This window comes from Homo sapiens, chromosome 11 (genome assembly GCF_000001405.40).
Source record: "Homo sapiens chromosome 11, GRCh38.p14 Primary Assembly".
NCBI lineage: Eukaryota > Metazoa > Chordata > Mammalia > Primates > Hominidae > Homo > Homo sapiens.
This window is the reverse complement of record NC_000011.10, coordinates 22,753,814-22,775,410: the sequence shown is the minus strand read 5'-3', so window position 1 is coordinate 22,775,410 and position 21,597 is coordinate 22,753,814. Positions and strand designations below refer to the sequence as shown.

Below are 21,597 nucleotides of genomic sequence, written 5' to 3'. Positions count from 1 at the left end.
GTTTCAATTTTAAATAACCAAGACACAAGATAGCCTCACACAGTAGATAATAATATATATACCTGGAATTTCAAGAGGTAGGTCCCCAGAATGAGCTGCCACCCTCTTGACCTCCACACTCTCCAAGCCAAAACGGTGGAATGCTCGTCCTCCAACTTTATACCTTTTCAATTCATTATCTGCACTACAGCCTGAATGATTTAAAATGCAATCTACTCATGTTTCTCCTCGTCTAAAAATTATTTAGAATCTTCTTATTGCCTTCAGGAGAAAGCCAAAGCTCTCATCATACAGGTAGCTCTCCATGAGCTGGCTCTGTGTGTCTGCCTGGCATCATGTCTCCCTTGCTACACCAGCCTCTCGTTGCCCACTCCTCCTTTTGTCCTCAACTCTCAAGGCTGCACTTCTACAGTTCTGATGAGGTCTCTCTCTCTCTCTCTCTTCCCCTCATCTCCTCCTCTGTTACTTCTGGGCCTTTTTGTATGCTGTCTCCTTTCTTTCTGATTCTGGTTGAAACACTTTCACTTCTACTTTGTTTAGCCAACATGTGCTTATTCTTTGAGTCTCATCTCAGACATGACTTTCTGCAGATACCCTTTCTTGACTCTTGAAATCCAGATTAACAGAAAAAAAAAAAATCACGATAGGTAAACTCTACTGGCAACTTCAACCCCAAATTTAACCAGAAGAAATGTACTGCATGAAAGATTCATGAAAGGAAAATATCTACCTTAACTCTGCTGTTAAGTTGATATCTCCTCAAACATAATCTCAGTTCTTAAAGTCAACATACCAAATACTGCCTTTAGTACTTGCCCAGGCAATTCAGTTTTGGTCTCCCAATCTTCAAGCACTTTGCTACCAAAAAAATCTAGGAGTTGTTACTTTAAGAAAATGCCTTGTTTAAAATGTCATACTAACCACATTTTCATGAAACATAGGTCTTGTTTAGAAAGCCCTTCACTTTAAGAAAATCAGAAAGAGATCATGTTTGAAGATAAGTCATTTGTAGTAGCTCTAACACCTAGTAAGTTGAGAGAGCTCTGGGTTATTTTAGAGAAATACTTGTAACAGAATAAATAAATTTGGAGATCACTGAACATAAAATTGCACAAAAGGCCAGGCGCAGTGGCTCATGCCTGTAATCCCAGGACTTTGGGAGGCTGAGGCGGGCCGATCACCTGAGGTCAGGAGTTCGAGACCAGCCTGACCAACATGGTGAAACCCCATCTCCACTAAAAATACAAAAATTAGCCGGGTGTGGTGGCATGCTCCTGTAATCTCAGCTACTTGGGAGGCTGAGACAGGGGAATTGCTTGAACCCGGGAGGCGGAGGTTGCAGTGAGCCGAGATTGTGCCATTGTACTCCAGCCTGGGCAACAAGAGCGAAACTCTGTTTCAAAATAAAATAAAATTGCACATAAAATTAAAACGGAGCTCTGATGTATTTAACTGGGAATGTCTAGGAAGTGCATGCCAGGTGGGAAGCACATTACATATATCGATGCCTCCCTCACTAGCCTCTGGCTATGTGAAAATTGCTGGAATCTAAATGCTTAAAATGGTGTTTGTCACCTTTTTTATAACCTGCTGTGGAAGCGAGGTCAGGAAGGAGATCATGTTGAAATGATGATCAAGTGAAAGAAACTGATCTGAGAAATGCAAACAAAAACAAGTAGAAAGGGCCATCTTGCTTCAGAGAGAAAACATTTCATAGCAAATAAGCCCCAAGGAGAGTGCCAATTCCAGCCCTGCAAAGATCTTGGAAGACTTGACGGTGTTCTAAAGAGGAGAGATTAAGACTGAGGTGTGACACGGTGAAACCCCGTCTCTACTAAAAATACAAAATATTAGCCGGGCATGGTGGCGGGCGCCTGCAGTCCCACCTACTCGGGAGGCTGAGGCAGGAGAATGGCGTGAATCCGGGAGGCGGAGCTTGCAGTGAGCCGAGATCACACCACTGCACTCAAGACTGGGCAACAGAGCGAGACTCTGTCTCAAAAAAAAAAAAAAAAAAAAAAAAAGATTGAGGTGTGACATTGGACATAAAGAGCAAAGATGACTGGAGCATAAGTCCCATCCTTGGAAAAGTGCTTGAAATTAGGCAGGGAAAACCGGGCCCAGATGTAGGTAATGAGATTCAGGAATGAAGACAGCTTGGCAAGCCTCCTTACCAAAAGTCAGAAGAGCCAGAGGACTGAAGTTACTCTGGGGAATACTGGGAAAATGAACCGCGACCACAGACAGAAGACTGCAGCCTCTAGGAGGAGAAAGAATTATGAGATTGGCACTATGTAGCCTCTGCTGGTCTCCAGGTGTTTCAGCCCTAGGTGCCAAGGTATGATAAAGCCTGAACCTCTTAGCACTCTACTGGAACTTCCTGAGTTCAAGAGTGGAAGGAGAGATGACCCTAGAAAGGGCTATATCCACTAAAGGCCCCTCTCTTTATTCTAGGACTGAAAAAGAGCCCACTGGTGTAGCTCAGCTCCAGATTATTTCTTTGGGCATTGCAGGGTGTGAGAAATGCAGGAAGCATGCTTTGCTCTTGATTTTACTGCATTTAAACTTTAAGTAGGATAATGCCAATGCTGTCATTCTATATATGCATTTAGAAAGAAAAACAAATCAAAATGGGGATACCACTGCCAAAACTTAGCAAATTATCCTCCCTCCTTCTACTCATCTCTGGGAAAAGACGGAAGGCAGAGAAAAGGAAAGAAGAGAACTCTGCATGATTTTTAGCCCCTCCAAATGGAGACCTGAACTGCCTTCAAAAAACTATCACACAAACTCCATTACAAACCTCCAACATAAAATCCATGATGCCTATGGAAATCATACTAACTTCAGCGATTTTTAAAAAAAATTTATTCCAAAATAAGAATTATTCCTAGGGTTTTTAGAAAATGCCACACCATCTCTCTAGTCCAATACACACACCCCTTTAAAAGATACTGATGAAAAGTAAAACAAAAAACAAAAACCAAAAAACAATACTTTTATAAGATGCAAGGAGAATTGTGGCAATTTAAGTAGTGAAAATAACAGAGGTACTCATATTATTTGAAGAAAACCTGTCCGCCAACATCTTCCTCTTGAACCAAGTGACACCTGGATAGTGAAAGGGGAAACTTAACACCAGCCAGGAAGAGGGGTTCAATCGACTTTGGTGATAAATGGGGGTCAGGGCTGTCATGGTCAGATTAGCTCCACAGACTTAGGTTTCATGTTCATTTACAAGTAACTTGCTTCATAAGTCTATACAATGCCTTTCAACAGCTCCAAGAAAAGTTATGTCTGGTGTTTCTGCCACACAACTGAGTTATACTTGTATCTTGTATGACACATTTGCACGTCTGTTGAAGGAATTTTAGAAGTAGATTTTCAGAAACTCACATCCTGTCTCTGTCAATTATTAATGGGGATAATAAATTAAATTATATTGAACTGTCAGAATAATTAATAGTATATGACCAATATTTACATTATTAAGCATTATCTTTACCAGGAAACAGAAGCTACAAAGAAATTAAATCCTCAAGCTTTCTAACAGTTCTTTCAAATAGCACACCCTCTTGTATGTAGTGAATGAATGATAGAATAAATGATGGTTAAGGAAATACATTTAACTGTGCTCTTTTAGAAATCTAAAAATTCTCATAATGTAGTTTCAAGATATGTTCATCTAGTTTTAAGTAGAATTTATAATATGGGGTTTCTCTTATAATTATTTTGCATTTATGTATAACAGACAAGACTTAAGTAAGCTGTGCTTTCTAGATATAATTATTAATATTTAAAAACTAAAAATGAGCCAGTTTTCCTATGTGCAATGCAACCTCAGTACCTCAAAATCAAGTCCCATTCCATTTCCATCCTCTCTAACTTTCATCATACTGAAGTGTTAAAACATGACTGATACATCTGGAAGTTTGGTATGGTGTCAGGAGCAAAAAATGTGGTGGAGGTCCATGAGGTTCCTTTTGCATTAAACTACAAATGGGAGTAGAATTGAGACATTCTGAAATTATATGGTGTTTCATTTTTTATTCTATAAATGTATTGTTCCAAATATTTGAAAGCAAAGGCCAAGATGATATTGCATACAGAAGCTAAAACCCAGGTTCATACAAGCAATTTTTAACAATAAGCTCAACATTCCTGGAGCACAAGAATTACACTAACAAAATAACAAATATTGTATTACTAGGTTACTGTCTTCTAGCCACCCACAATAGATCTGAGATTGCCATTTTTCAAAAGTATCATGGGAAAAACAAAAGAAGAAACAGTGTTTTAGTACCTCATGAAAAAAAAAAAAGTAAAATATTAACTTCTGAGTGCCCAACTTCCCTCAACTGATTGAAGGCCAAGGCACCACAGTGAAAGCAAAGTGGAGATTTGCCCACTAATTATCTAAGTAATTACCTTAAATGTCTGCTTTGCTTTGGCTGTGGAGATATAGTCACAACCATGAAGACCCTACTGAAACAAGAAGATATGAAGTTCATAAAATGCTCTCCGTCTTCAATGAAGAAAGGTACATGAACGCCACCTAAAAATGCAAACTGTGATCCTTTGTGACAAGACTAAAGAAAAGCTTTTTGAACGACAATGAGAATAACTATTTCCATATTTTCATATAGTGAAGTTTCATTGCATAGTAATCCACATTAAATGATATTTGAGACATATATACTTTGAGAATCACAGGCTACGTTGGCTGTTGGCAGTTTAAAATATGTATGTTAGAATTATCTCTCTTCTGGGGTTTTAGTCTCCTGTTCCAGAATAAAAAATACCTGTAAGGAAATATTTTTTGCTGAAGATGACAGATATCAAGTCTGTGTCTCAATTCTACAAGAGAAACATATCAGACTCCAGAGAATGTGTAATAAAGTCCTAGAGAAAATTGTTAAGTAAGTGAAACGTTTAATTTCAGTGTAAAACTTTCTACTTTGGGGGAATATCCTACTATATTGTTCTGAGTTCCCTCTCAACTCACGTGTGTTGGCCCCTTGCTTCCTGTCTAGGCCCTACCACTGTATTATGAAAGTAATGGCCCTACCATTGCTATTTATTTATTTGTTTATTTAAACTTTATGTAAGTTCCAGGGTAGCTGTGCAGAAAGTGCAGGTTTGTTACATAGGTATACGTGTGCCATGGTATTTTGCTGCACCTATCAAGCTGTCACCTAGGTTTTAAACCCTGCATGCATTAGCTATCTGTTCTGATGCTCTTCCTCACCTCACCTCCCCTACTCCCACAGGCCCCAGTGTGTGTTGTTCCCCTGCCCTTGTCCATATGTTTTCATTGTTCAACTCCTACTTATGAGTGAGAACATGCGGTGTTTGGTTTTCTGTTCCTGTGTTAGTTTGCTGAGGATGATGGCTTCCAGTTTCATCCATGTCCCTGCAAAGGATATGACCACATTCCTTTTATCTGGCTGCATAATATTCCATGCCTACCATTCGTTTCCATGGCAAAAACCGCAATTACTTTTGCACCAACCTAATATTTACCCTCAGAAAGTTACATGACACAGGAGACACTCTTTTCTACTCTACCACTTTCTTTGGTTGTAATTAAAAAATGTAATTTATGTAGCATCTTAAGCTCACAATTAGAGAGGTTAACTCAAAATTAGAGATTCCAAACTCACAAGGAGACAGTTTATCTGAAAGGTAATTTGTTGAAAGGCTTTCAATAGGAATCAAAGGATATGTTTCAGATTCTCTGACTAAGCATCAGGATGACAAAGTCAAGTCATCTTTGGGAAAACTGTTTCCCCTCCCATGATTAGATAGTATTATAGCTGTAATTTTTAAAATTTATTTAAGGCTACTTTCTCTTTTATCTTTAGAATATTTCATCTTCACTTTTCCTCTAGTTGATATATGTATACATGTTATCTATCAGATCTATGAGTGCTGTACATGAGGGAAAAGCCTGTTCATGTCACTGGTGCCAAGATGTCAATTAACATTCAGGTTCACCTGGAATTCTTTCAGTACTTATTGGTGGATTTATTTTTGTTACAAGATGTTGGGGAAATACAGGAGATAAATAAATTCTTCAAGGTTGGACATGTTATTCCTTGCTCTGCTCCTTGGAATGCATGCCCCTACCTGCCTGTCATGTTGGCTATAGGTTGTTAGAGGAATAGTAGGAGGTATAAGGTGTTTTGTAAATATCACCCTGGGAGGGGAGTTTTGTGACACATATCCTGTGGTTCAAAGTGCCTCCTTGGGCAACGCTAAAGACCACCTTAGGTTAAGTCCTACCAGGTGGACAGGCAATGTGATGTGAATAAAACTGTCTGCCATATGAGTTTCCATACTTTTTCTATTAACCCTGGACCTCATTAGGAACATAAGGAGTTCCTTAAGATCTTAGCATGATTATCAAAATAGAGTCCAGGACTGAGTAACATTAGCATGAATGTTATCATTGGTAGATGATGACAAATTAATGTGTTACTTTGTCTGCATGTCATGGTTCTGGAATGAAATTCTTAGAGACCTTATGCCTAATACAAAAGCTAGAAGACAAATTTGAAATCAGGCCTGCCTTTTATCTGCCTTTAAATGAGATCTTAGAAAGACTATTCATTTTCTCTGCATTCCCCCATAGTCTATGAAGCCAGACTTTAGGAAAAATATGACAAATGAACTATGTTGGGAGTGAAAGTTAGAGACTGTGAACCAAGGTATGAGTTTCTGAGAAAAGGAAATAATAAAACATTGGATAGTTTGGTTTAGCAACAACAACAAAAGGTCAGAAAGCCCATTACAAGGTGATGTCTCAAATAATTTGTTCCCACGGAGTTTGTGGTCCCATAAAACTTGCCTATAACATAAACTAGATCATCAAGTACTCTGGCCTAGAGAGAAGGCAGTTTTCCATAATTGGCAAGAGTGTTTGAAGGGCAAGCTGTGAGTGTAGTGCTGGGAGATTAGAAGTTGGCATGAAAAGCTGGTGTGTAAAAGAGATAGTGATGTAAAAGAAAGCTACAATTGGGAGATGAATAACACCTTGATGTAGTGATTTCTTATTGCTGGTGTTTGTTTAAAGAAATAGACAAAATGCCATTAAATACCTTGCCAGGGCTTTTGTTGTCATTTTGCTTTGTTGTTGTTGTTTTAGTAACATCTGGAATTTCTTTATAAAGAAAATTGAATGATATATTCCTAGGACAACATGTAAACCCAAATTTTCACACACTGTTCCTCCCAAAACCTACATAAAGAGCTCCTTAAGATCTTATTCTGCTTCTAACAAGATGGCAGACTATATCATGAAACACTGTACACCCAGCCTTCAAATGAAAATGTTAATACACCATTTCAGTGAACTAAAAGTTGATGTGAATCAGTAAACCTCTTGCAATGGAAGGACTGGCCGTTTAGATGAAGGAGGTGCCTGCTGGGTCCAGGACCAAGATTATGCGTTTTTACTGAGGTGGTGAAATTCAAAATGTCAAGTATTAAAGGGAAATGCAAGACAAGCTCTAAAATGACCAGTCATGTAGAAACTTAACTCACTAAGTTTATGAAAAAGATAGCACTAAATAAATGAATCCTAATTTATCATAGTGAATCTTGTAACAGCAGCATTTCCACCATGCTTGACTATGTTCAATACAAACTCAAAATGGCCACACTTGCAAAGCATATTTCTTACTGAATCCAGCTACATCCTATTTATGCAACTTGAACCCATGGGAGAACTATAGACAATTTATATGACAGTTATTTCACAGGTTTTTTTCTTTGGCAGCTAGAAGACTCATCAGTTATTCAAGAACACAACACATTATGCATAATTATTTCATTTCTTTCCCCTTTGCAAAAAAAATCATTCACATATCAGTATAGAACATATAAACAAAGAAATATCCTTGTCAGGATGTCTACAGAAAGTTAAAAGAAAAATCTTACAAACATTGCGAGTAGACATTACTATGTATTGTTTGCTTTGTAATTTAAGGAAAACAATGCCAAAATCAAAAACACAGTGAAGAACTATTTTCATTTATACAAAGTTTTTTAAAAAAAAACTTCAAAAGGAAATTTTGCTGTGTGAAGTTTAAATCATATAAAATTTAGATATAAATTTTCATAATATAATTTAACCTGGATCAATCACTAACAGGATTACTTTAGGAAAATTACTAAATTTCTATTAGCTGCAGTTTCTTCATCGATAAGTTTTATAAATTAACAATCACACTCATTTTTGTCATACAGTAATAATTAAGCTAAAATGAGATAATGTATAAAATGAAAGTACTTTACAAACAATATAAAAGAAAGATATCCGTACTGCTATCAAGAAACAAGACAAAAACAGTTAAGAAAAAATGTTATGTAAAAATTACTTGACAATTTTAGGAAACTTGCTTTCAAAGCATTAGTTGCTATGCCAACGTTTTCAGTTTGCACTTGGTCATATGTTTAGTTTAGACCCTTTAATAAAAGTAAAAAATGATACAAAATGCAAATTCATCTCTCTGCCATACCATAGCATGCTCAGAAAATCCTTCCATACCTATTGAAATTAAGAGGATTTAATCTTAACTGACCAAAGGCCATAAATATAAGTTTATAATTGTAGTAAATTGTAAATGTTCCTTAGTTTCTTCATTCCTAGAATAAATTTTTGTTTCTGGAAGACTTTTCAAGCAAAGAAAAGAAAATAAATAACTATACTGAACTATTTTTGTTGGGTTTTCTAGTTTATGTTGTTGTTGTTATTGAGGCTGTTTTGTAAGATTCTGTTTCCTGGGTGCTTTTTTGTTTTTTGACTCTAGAATAGGAATTGGCTGTTAAATTCCTTGTTTTGCCAAAGCACATAGGCAAAGGAATAAGCAAACTAGGAGCTATGCATTGAGTATAGGTAAATTACTAATGGATTTTAAAAGTTGAACAGTAATACTTACAAAATGACATGCCAAATGTCTATATGGTCTGAAATGGAATGAATAGCATATAATTAAAACCGTGGGCTCTGAAATCAGATACATTAAATTCAAATAAAGGCTTTGACACTTACTGTGTAATCTCTGACAAGCAATTTGCTCTCTAACACTTAATTTCCTTATTGTTACTATGAGGATAACAACAGTGCCTACCTCAAAGAGTTGTGAGGGTTGAAAAAAAAAAAAAGAATCCGAGGAAAGCACTTAGACAACAGATACACAGAAAGCATTTGGTGAGTATTAAATAGTATATGATACAGTTTAGATATTTGTCTCCTACCCATGTCTCATGTTGAAATGTAATCCGCAATGTTGAAGGTGGGGCATGGTGGGAGGTGTTTGGATGATGAGGGCAGATACCTCATGAATGGCTTGGGCCATCCCTTTGGTGATAAGTGAGCTCTCGCACTGAGTGAGTTCACAGATTTGGTCATTTTAAAGTGTGTGGCACCTCCCCTCCCACTCTCTCTTGTTCCTACTTTCACCGTGTGAAGTACCTGCTCCCTCTTTTTCTTCCACCGTGTATAGAAACTTCCTGAGGCCTCCTGAGAAGCAGATGCTGCTTTCTGTACAGCCTGCAGAACCAGGAGCCAATTAAACCTATATTCTTTATAATTACTCAATCTCAGGTCTGTCTTTTCTTTTTTTTTTTTGACAGAGTCTCACTCTATCACCCAGGCTGGAGTGCAGTGGCACGATCTCGGCACACTGCAAGCTCTGCCTCCTGGGTTCACGCCATTCTCCTGTCTCAGCCTCCCAAGTAGCTGGGACTACAGGTGCCTGCCACCACGCCAGGCTAATTTTTTGTAATTTTAGTAGAGACAGGGTTTCACAGTGTTAGCCAGGATGGTCTCAATCTCCTGATCTCATGAGCCGCCCGCCTTGGCCTCCCAAAGTGCTGGGATTACAGGCATGAGCCACTGCCCCCGGCCAATCTCAGGTATTTCTTTATAGCAATGCAGTAATGGCCTAATGCAGTATATGTATATAGAAATATAGGATAAAAAGGTGTATTTTTCCACAAAATTTTTGACTTGGGATTTCAATTTCAGTTGTAGAAAAATCAACCTGAGATCCCTGTTAAAATCAGTTAAAATGTCAAATCAGTGGACCGGTTCAACTCTCTACTATATTGTTGCTTTTCACTATACACACATATATTTCTGTATATATTTTTTGTACGTGTATGGAGGTGTGTGTCTATCTGTATAATATACACATACACTATATATACATACATATATACACACACACAACATCACTAGATATAAAATACACATATATGGAACAAATTTATCTTAATGGCAGGAAGGTCATAGCAATGCAGAAATCGGGAATGCAGATTATAGAAGCTGTGCAGTTTTTCAATGACGTCATTTGACTTTTCAATGCTTCCTTAATATGATTTGTGGCCAATGAAAAAGCAATTGTACATTGATTCTAGATACAGCATAATGGCAAAAGAAAATTATTCAAACTGAAGTAAGGTAGCATGTGTATTGCACAATTTAAAGCCATGGTAAACCTTGCTAACTGAGTTGGAGATGAGTAAGAATGCTTATCAGGTCAAGTGAAGGTAGACACTATTGAAAAATCTACTCATTGCTAAATGGCCAATAGTGGTAAGTTTTTAATGAAGAATAATTTTTGGTTTTGAGCTTCTATTTATTTATTGTTTTTCACATTTAATGTCAGTGGAAGAAGAAATGAGCTCTCTAACTTAAATTAGAATATAGAAAACTGCCCAGATGTATTATTCGGTTGGTGCAAAAGTATTTGCGGATTTTGTCTTTACTTTTAATTATTGTAATAAATACCAAATTTCATTGTCTTTCTTGCTTTTTTGTTCTTTTTTTTTTTTTTTTTTTGAGACGGAGTCTTGCTCTGTCATCCAGGCTGGAGTGCAGCGGCGAGATCTCCCCACTCACTGCAAGCTCCGCCTCCCGGGCTCACGCCATTCTCCTGACTCAGCCTCCGGAGTAGCGGGGACTACAGTCGCCTGCCACCACGCTCGGCTAATTTTTTGTATTTTTAGTAGAGACGGGGTTTCACCATGTTAGCCAGGATGGTCTCGATCTCCTGACCTCGTGATCCGCCCGCCTCGGCCTCCCAAAGTGCTGGGATTACAGGCATGATCCGCCGTGCCCGGCCGTCTTTCTTGCTTTTTTAAAAAAAGTGGTGTCAAATGGATGTAGTTTCAGGGTGCAATTCTTGACAGTTTGTTTTGAATTTTTAAAATTTTTTTAAAAAATCTTAAAAAAAGGATAACTCTCAGAAAAAAACACATTAGCTGAATTATTTACAGCAATGGTTAGTTATTACTTATATTGCATTTATCTAAAACATATGCCTATCTTAGAGACTATAGGTTAAGAGTATTTATCAATATCTGCAAAGTCCTTTGAGATATGTTTTACCAAAGTGTAAATTACATCAATGGATGACAAAACAAATGAGAGTGTCTTTAGTGAAGCAAAAACATAAAAGAATTAAAAGCTAAAAGCATTTGAACACATTTTAAATGTTATTGCTTGCATTTCCTGAATTAGTGTTTAGTTTTGAGGCAGTTGGGAGAACTGAGTTTGGAAATATTCATGTATTGATAGCACTCATATTTCTCTTACTATGGCTTAGAGCACTATAAATGTCTGAGATTTTATATACATCAGAAGCAAACACGGCCATATTTTCCCCCTAGAAACAAATCTAGGCATTAATATAATTTTAAAATGGCATCCACTATTCTCATACATTGCTAAATTAGATGACGTGTGTGTGTGTGTGTGTGTGTGTGTGTGTGTGTGTGTGTGTGTATGTGTATTTTTTTAAATGAATTGTTGACTTTCAGCTGCTGAGTAATGGCTGCTTCTGCAGCATTTCCACTAAGGATAAATGGAGGTTTTAACTTCTTTGCTAGTTGTTTAAAACTCCTTTACATTTTCACACAACAGCCCATTTTTCATCACTAGGAAAAATATGAAATTTGAACCATGCTACTTTTTACTCACAGTAAATCAGTATGTGCCATAAGAGCAAAAAAGAACGTAATATCACCCACTATCATGGACCTTTCCTTAGAGCAAGTCCCAGAAGACATTGCCAAGTTCAGTTGCTATAGCAACAGAGCTTTGGTGCCTCTCTTGCTTGGTTTGTTTCAGAGAGTTGATTTTTACCACACAGGCATAATCCTGAAGAATTTTTATGCTAAGGAAGAAATTACACAGAGTCAATAACAATGTGTGTGACCTTTCTATTGATCTGTGATGATTTAATTTAAAAGTAGTACAAAGGAGGTAACGCCATAACATTTCAAATCCCTTTGCTGACTTCCAATTAAATTATTCATTGTCTTTTCTTTAGGCCCCTCAAGTACTCATATTTCTTAAACTAGAAAAATACCCTTAAGCCACTGGAGCATCAGTATGGAATTTCATATTATTTTATCCAACTGTGAAGTTCTGCTATGAAAATGTCTTGACGTAATACCAGTCTACTTAAAAAATAACTACAATTAGCAAGAGAAGACTCAACAAGACTATACTGGCAATATGGGAGAATTATCTTCTGATTTCTATTGAAAAGATATCAGGACAGATAGCAATATGTCTTATTATAGAATTCTAGTTAATTTTGCCTATTAAGGAGATAGACCACATAAAGAATTTTATACAGTGTCCATCATACAGTAACAAAAATATTATCATACTTTTTATCCTGTCATAATATAGTCAGGCAAATATATATCTTTATATTAGGCACTATTGATTATGCAATTGAATGCCCTTTGTATTCTGAATACTTTTAAAGTAAAAATTGTGTAAAAATACTTTACTGTGGTTGAGCATGAAATATATTATAAAAGGTATGGATTATTTATAGAGGAATAGCCTTTTGAATAAGATATTTGCATTTAATGGACATGCACAGGTGGCAGCTTGGAGTGGAATGTGTTATAGGTTTGGCAAGTCACGGCTTTGACTTTTACTTATTTTACTACTTACTTAAGAACTTCTCTAAGACTTTATTTTTTCACCTGTAATAAAAAGATAAAAACAATTTCCAAGTTGTATGGTTTAGAAAGAATCCTGTGATATAAATATAAACATAAAGCAGCTGGTAAAATGCCTGGAACAAACGATCCTTATTAAATTGTAGCTGTCTTTTCTTTAAAGGTTTTCCAGTCATGTCCTTGAAAATCATTTCCAAATGGAATTTGAAGGTAAAAATGAAAACAAATTAAATATTCCTTAATACCTTAAAAATATATGAGATTTAATTGTGGCAAGATGTGGACAACTTTCAATATAAATTCTACGTTACAAATTATTCCATTTGCTTCAATTGACAATGTCTTTCTCAAACTATGTTTCTATGACCTCCTAGCACAGGAAGATGCTCTGGGGGATAAAAAGGTGGGAGGGAGACTATTTCTATGGTTAAATACATTTGGAAAATGCTGAACAATATATTTCCCTCTAGGAGCTTGCAGATCACATTAGTATATTGAATCATCCAAGAAATTCCAGGTAAAGTGATCAATACTGCTTAGTGGTAAAAAGTGTAAATTTAGGAGTTAAGCTGCCAGGGTTTAGTGCCCACTTCCAATGCTTATTACCTTAGAACTTTGAGAAGTTACTCAACCTCAGTGTCTCAGTTTCCCCATCTGTAAAATGGAAATGGCAACAACATTTTCCACACGAGTTTGGGAGGTTATAATGAGATATATCAAGTGTTCTGATACAGGCTAACAAAGGCAATTATCAGTAAATAAGAGCAATTAAAGAAACCTGTTTCAACTCTTAACCATGTTAACTTTTCTTTACAAATAATATTTTTGAACATCTTCTGGAACTATTATTCTTGGGAACACACTTTGAACAACCCTAAGGTACAATATTAGGGTAGTGATAAATTGCAATTAAGTAAAAAAGTATTCATTACATTAGTGAGCAAACCAAGTAGCACAAAATGTTATCTACCTCACAACATGTGACCCCACTGGCTGCTACTTTGTCAGAAATTTTTATTATCAGAACATTAGAGCAGCTTAGTTAAGTGTAAAGACCTTATCACATAGATGTTCTATTCACTGGGGCTGTCTGCATCCATTTCATAAATTAGCACAGATAAGTTTATCATATTAGGTTATTTTCCTCTCACTAAAAACTGAGCCCTAAAGGAATGGAACACCAAATGGTTAAAATTGTAATGATTAGTAGAGAAAAAACTGAGTACGTAGATCACTGATAGGGTCTGCAAAGATAAGGAAAGACAAGGCATATTATCCAGACAGTAGATAAACATTTAAATATTTCCAGGTGCTAATCCTAAACAATATCAATTTCCAAAATGGAGAGAGAAAATAGTAAAGGAAGACAGCTTCATCTAACGAAAAATATGCTATAAGTTCACAACAATATGCAAAAATTCTCTGTAGTCTAAATAATACCATGACTCCAAAAAACCTCCCCACCATTTTCCGGAAGATAGGAAGCTCAGCAAAAGGGCGATTCAAATGAGCAGTCTGCTAATTAACCTGACAACTTTCAGAGGGCTTTTAATTTATTCTCAAATTTTTAACTGTATCTGTTTGCTGGTTTACCTTAAAGAGTTCATATTTTTAAAATGATCATCAGAAATTTGAAGAACAGAAAAAAAATCACACACTCATAATTCTGTGTCCTTGACAAATAAAAACTATTTTCTATTATTCCCATTTTCTTTGTCTTTATCCTAATCATTTCTACACAGAGCTATTTTATATGTAAATATAATTTAAAAGCCTCTTTTTTTCACTTACAATGACGTCTTAAGCATTTCCTTCCAACAATACACAGAAGTCTTCAAAATGATCATTTTTAGCACCTGACTGCTAATATGCTTTCATGATCAGACATGCAAATGATTTTGAATTGCGTTGTTGGTACACTGAATCCCTTCCTATATATTGTTTTAAAGTGATTTTCAAACTTCAGGACATGTATGAAACACCTGGAGGACTTATTAAAACACAGGAGGCTGGGCCCTACCCTCAGAGTTTCTGATTTAGTAAGTCTTGGGGAAGCCCCAAGAATTTGCATTTCTAACAAGTTTCCAAATGATGCTGATGCTGCTAATCTTTGGCCATTTTAAAAATTACTGTTGGAAGACACTGTGTGCGGTGGCTCATGCCTGTAATCCCAGCACTTTGGGAGGCCAAGGCAGGCGGATCACCTGAGGCCAAGAGTTTGAAGCCAGCCTGGCCAATATGATGAATTCCTGTCTCTACTTAAAATACAAAAAAAAAAAAAAATTAAAAATTAAAAATTAGTTGGGTGTGATGGTACACACTGTAATCCCAGTTACTTGGGAGGCTGTGTCACAAGAATCGCTTGAACCTGGGAGATGGAGGTTGCAGTGAGCCGCAGCACTGCACTCCAACTTGGAGTACTTAGGTAGAACATAGCCATCAAATTGGAATTGATAAGTCAAATACCACAGACATTATTATTGCATCTAAGACATATTTCTGAAGTCCCTTTTTACAGGCTCATTCGGATTTCAATTGCCAAGTGACTTCTTGATACTTGAAGCCTATGTAGATACCAACTGACTGAATAAACAAATGAACAAGAGAAAATTCTCTCCTCCCTGAAATCAAGACATTAGTCCTGAGATCCACCTATTTACATTTCAAAGATACGTATTATGGTTGAATGGGAATAATCCAAATCTCTGTTAATCCAAATCTCTGTTACTGCAGAAATCAGAAGGTTTTATCATCGCTGTCCAAATTCAAAGTCACTGAAAAATAACTGAAATATTTATATCTTGGAGGAGAGTACATTTGCATCTGCACAATATAGATAAAAATTAGCTGCATTTGATAGTTCAAAAAAACAATGTTGCTCTTTGGAAAGTACCAGGCAAAAATTTGGCTTTGACAAATTATTTTTCATAAGCTAGAAACAAAAAAAATTCCCATTTGGCAATGGATTATTAGGATGTTTTCCTAAATCCTCAGAGGTTTTTCTCTGTACTAAAGGATTCTTAACATTTAGGCATGGATTAATCCTCACCTGTAAATGGAGAAATATGAACATAAACAAGCCTGTCTACAAAAGTACATAGATGCCTCTATTAATACATAAGTACACATTAGATAGCCATGTATGGGAAGTATCTATTCATACATTGGTTTCCAGAAACCCACAGACAAGACATATGCTTAGTAAAGATATTCTCTGCAGAAAATATCTTCCCGGTCTTCCTTTGAAATTTGCAGGCATTCTTATTTTTTCATTCATAGTTGTTGTTACTGTATCTGTTTGAATGTATAGGGAAGATATGTTCATATACATACATAATCATAAGTCGACACATAAAGTGATTAGGTGTGGTCAACAAACCTTGTAAGGTGGTTAGCAATGGAATTGTTAACCCTGGCTTAGTTAAGCATCAGTCAAGAGTTAACAGTGTTAGGCACAGGCTTATCAAAAGAATCTTGTATCTATGACTTTCTCTTTTTTTTTTTTTTGAGACGGAGTTTTGCTCTTGTTGTCCAGGCTGGAGTGCGATGGCATGATCTTGGCTCACCACAACCTCCGCCTCCTGGGTTCAAGCAATTCTCCTGCCTCAGCCTTGCAAGTAGCTGGAAATACAGGCATGCGCCACCAAGCCCAGCTAATTTTGTATTTTTAATAGAGGTGGGGTTTCTCCATGTTGGTCAGGCTGGTCTCGAACTCCCAACCTCAGGTGATCTGCCCGCCTCGGCCTCCCAAAGTGCTGGGATTACAGGCGTAAACCACTGTGCCTGGCGTATCTATGACTTCCTAAGGAACAATTCTTACTGAGTTAGTGTTCTGGTAATTGTTTTATCTTTAAGTAAAGGTAAACAGTCTCATTAGCCTTAAGTGACCCTGAATTGTTCTTTGCATTGGACAGGTTCATTATGACCATATGAATACACTGCTGCTCTCAGGGTGAACAACTAACTAGGGGACAAATGTTAAGACACAATGTATGTGTCATTGTATGTATACTTTATAGAATAATATACATAAATACTGTCAGTAAATATGACCGTATTAGGCAGCCTCAAAAAAGATATGACAAAGTTTAAAATACGCCCATGTGAAAGATGCAAATTTAAGAAATGCAAGAACTGCAATGAAGACACTATGAGGCAGTTGTTCACCTAGTATGTGTGAGAATTTGACTACAGGCACTTACTACTTAATCCAGGTGTTCAAGGAAATATAGTTAAAACATTAGCAGTGACAACCATATGATCATTTGAAAACCAATTCAATACCTATGAGATTTTTTGAGTAGTAACTGCCAGTTCCTTACATTAGTAAGGAGCAGAATGGCAATCAATTAAATATAGTCCCTACCACAAACTGAAAGTACTAGCATAATCATATGCACATCAAGGAGACATGTTTAGTTTTTCTAGTTAACACAGAGGAGGAAATAGGGAAAAATATACAATTCAAGGCACATGTGACCTGCCTATGAAATTTTAATTTTTAAGCCTCCACGGATAACCAGACACATAGACAGGAGCCTTTTTTAGAATCATATTACTCCTTCAGGGTGGAAATGAACTTATGACAAGCCAAAGGATAGGTATTTCAATCAATATATGTTCAAGAATGTTTTCCTTTTTTGACAAATAGTTTCGGTTTGTAATTTAGGCAGTGACAGAAATTTATCTTTGCTAAAAATTAAGTTTTTAAAAAACGTTTCATTTTAAAGGGAAATGTTATAAAAATAGTAAAATTGTATGTGGATAGTATAAAAATCAAGAGAATAAATGATTAACGTTCGTTAAGACACTATTCTAAAACATGTCATAATAGCATGATGCCATTACTTGCTGGACTAATCAGTGAATAACCACATCACAGTTAACTCTCTTATTGCAGGTTCACCTGGAACATTAGAAGTAAGAAACTGAGTGTGCACAATATGTTCTTATGTATTAGTTGATATTAAATTAATATCCCTAAGAAATTTGATACAATTTTTTCAGTACAGCAAATCTCAATTTCTCTATAAATAATGCATGAATAGATTTAATCAAAAGATAACTATTTCTTGAAAAGAAAAATGGAATATCAAAAAACCTGCCTTATATAGTAAGGACTATAAAAACATGTTATTCACAAATGTGGACATTAAAATCCTTGACAAATGACTAAATTTGCATCTGAAATCACAGATGCAAATAAACATATGTAATATATATTTTTGACTGAAGATATTAGGTTACATTGCAGGGAGAAGTATATAATTTATTAATCATGTGCTTTATTAACACTTTTATTACAAAAAGGAATAACTGTTTAAACAAATGACTCTCTCTGTTTTGATTCTAAGCTCTGGAGCCTAATATTCTAAAGGAGACTGATTATCAATTGAGAAAGGTCAACCCGGTAAAATTTAAACACATCTGTGGAGATTCTAGATCACTATTATTTAATGTACTAACATGACAGCAGGCAGTTTGACTTAACAAAATATGTATGCTATCCTTGCAATAAAGAACAAAAGAACAATAAGCAACTCAGACAACTGCCTTTCCTAGTGAGGCCATCTACGCAGATCTGTCTCATACTCCAATAATAACACATTGTTATATCCTTTTGCTGCTATTCCAAAGCAGAATAGCAATTATTTCCTGGAAATTTAAGAAATATATTAGTAAATGCTAATCTAAAATTAGATTAAAATTCAAAACCATTAACATTATATTTTAAGGCTAAAATTATGATTAAACTTTCTTTTTGCAACTACATGTTGCAGGGCCTTTAAAAAGACCTGTTATACCAATAAGTTTTGGTCAAAAGTAGAAATTAAGAAAACTTTACAAGGGCAAAATTTCAACAGAGTCATTGCAGATTTGAGTATTGTGAGACTACACATTGCTGGTACTAGATGTACGTATTCAAATCATTCTATTCTACAAAACAGCAGGATATTTTTTAACTTTTTCAACTGAGGAAAGAATATAGCTTTTTTAAAAAACATCACAACCTCTGTTCCTTTAGAAATGACTAAACCATAAAGCAGCAAATTACTTTTATTTACAACTGCAGATTTCTAGGAATGTATCTCTATTTTTCATTTTCTTTTCTTTTCTTTTTTTTAAAAAAAGAATTATTGGTCTTAGTAAAAGCCACAAACTTACTTTGAGAGATTAAATTATCTTGATTCTTAGCAAAACATAACACAAGTGGAAAGCCTTCTTCATCTATTTGATCTCCATGGTGTCTTTGGTGTATATGCGTTTTGGTATATGTACAAAGAGAAAACAGTTGTATTTAGCCTTCAGTAGTACATTATAATGTATGTTACTTTAAAAAAATTCATACCATGTATCTTTAAACGTAAGCACCATATGGAAGTTCCTGCTCTTATCTGTCATATTTCCCCTAACTCAAATTCTGAATCTTCCCATAAAAACAAGATAAGTGAAAAGTAAAACTTTACCCTAATGAAGAGGATCTTTTCTCCCACTCGGTATCTTCCTTGGGAGAGCCGCTCCACACAGAACTTGTTTGGGCATTTGCAAGGAGGATCTTCAGAAATTCGTTTCACCTGAAATAGAAGAGCAGGCACATTCATTTGTCTTAATTAGGCTGCATTTATGTTAATTTGCTCCAAGGACTCCACGGCCCCTGAACCCTTAATGACTTTAAACTTGTTATTTATCTATGGACATCATGTGAGCATAGGAATATCACATTAAATCATAACCATGTAAAGTTCAGGCCCCAAAGACATCTGAAGGCAAATGACTGCACTAAGGCATAAGTTAGCTAATGACAGTGATGATGCTGGAGGATAATGAGCAGGAAACCAACTGAAATTATAGACTATACATAATCAGCTGGGTTCCTACTTTTGGAGGACTAAAAAGACCATGCACATTTGGGTTGTCAAGGTCAACCTATTGAAAACCAGAATAGAAAGTATGTTAACATAGAGTTTATGTTACTTCAGTATAATTTTAATCATATTAATTTTACCCAGTTTCAAAATAAATGAGAGTGAGTTTAACAAGTTGTTTTTTTAAGGAGACTATTGTTTCATCTTATTTTGAACTCTAAGATTTTCTCTAAGAATTAATCTCTCATATACTCAGATTTACCCTGCAACTCACTCCATCTCAGTAATTCCTACCTATCAAACCCTACTTCTTTGACCATGTTTTATAGCTTATGTGTGTTCTATGTAATTGATGCCTGAATATCAGATTTTTATCCCTGTTATATCTATTCTCCCACTCTTCTAAAAATACATAATCTAAATGATATGTGCATAAAGCTTATGAATAGTTGTGATTACTAGATGATAATATAATAGTCCACGATTTTAGGAACAATTTTATGTTTATGTTTTCCCTGATGGGGAACCACCCACTCTGTCTGCTCTTCAACTAACCAACCAACCAAACAACCCAAAACAATAATCTCCTGTGTTTTGAGGAAAAGTTTCCATGGAAGAAACAGAAAGCCGTAAATGATGTGCAGTCTGAATTTAGAAGCTAGATAGAACAAATTTAGAAATTGGCCTGGATTTTCCTCACCCGAATTCTTCCACAAAGATGTCATGGGGTCTACCCCATTTATGTCATGAAAGAAATGCAATCATTCCTTCAAATAATTCGATTTTTGACTTTAATCAGCCTTCTAAGCAAAAACTGTGCAGAGAGTAAAACATGAACTCAATTGAATGTTAATGTAAAGGAATTAAACAACTTGTTTTTCCTAGAATAAGAAATGTTCCAGAAAGTTTGAAAGCATAAGACAATAGAAGAATAACCAAAAAAAAAGGAAAAAAACCCTGAAATTAAATTTATCTCATAAATTTATCGCATGTACAATTATGACTCAGTGAGGATGTATACAAAGAGAACCAACACTATTTTGGGGGGAAAAGAACAAAAGAACCAACTTTAATATATACATTGCCATTAGTCCTTTTTGCCATCCTTAATTTTGCTGACATATAAACCTATGGCTTTTGGCACTTATTTTTATCATAGCATATTGTATCTCATTTAGTGGTTAACCTTAATGTCTTCTTGCTAGACTGAGTTCCTTTGGAGTTAAGATGGTATTTCATTATATTTTAAAATCATTGATGTAAAGCACATCTTAATGGCAAATAAATATTCATTAAATACACATTGACTAAATAGATATATAAGAACATGAATCTATACAGGTCACAGGGGGAAATTAGAGGAACAAAATAATCATGGATTCAAAGAACCTTAAAAATAGCTTTCATCAAAAAATGAGAAAACTACTTAACATTAAGTTAGTGATTAGGGCAATTACTTTGTGTTCTGAGTTTGTTCTGTCATATTATACTTGGTCTATAGATACATTCACCCCAACACTAATAGATTTCTGTTCTAAGAGATTTTTTGAAAGGTTATTTCTGAATGGGACGATGATAATAAAACAAGATATATAAAAGTTGAATAAAGAGCACATCATTTCCTTCCAATAATGCAGAACCACATTCTAGGACTGAGGGTAGGGTCACAGGACCAATGAATGTTGTCTATAGTTCCTGTTTTCAGTATTTTTCTATGTGTATCTCTTTCTATATGTGTTTA

General features: G+C 35.6%; 1 protein-coding gene across 19 annotated transcripts in view; it reads right to left on the bottom strand.

Moving 5' to 3' along the window:
• Window positions 1-21,597, bottom strand: part of GAS2 (growth arrest specific 2) — a 187,054-nt gene that overhangs the window by 37,645 nt on the left and 127,812 nt on the right. For 9 of the 19 annotated variants that reach the window (XM_047426746.1, NM_001391937.1, XM_047426747.1 and 6 more), the window contains one exon: window positions 19,458-19,565. In XM_047426746.1, the coding sequence (XP_047282702.1) occupies window positions 19,458-19,565 (108 nt within the window). The other 10 variants (XM_047426745.1, XM_011519972.4, XM_047426744.1 and 7 more) reach the window with 5 other exon arrangements.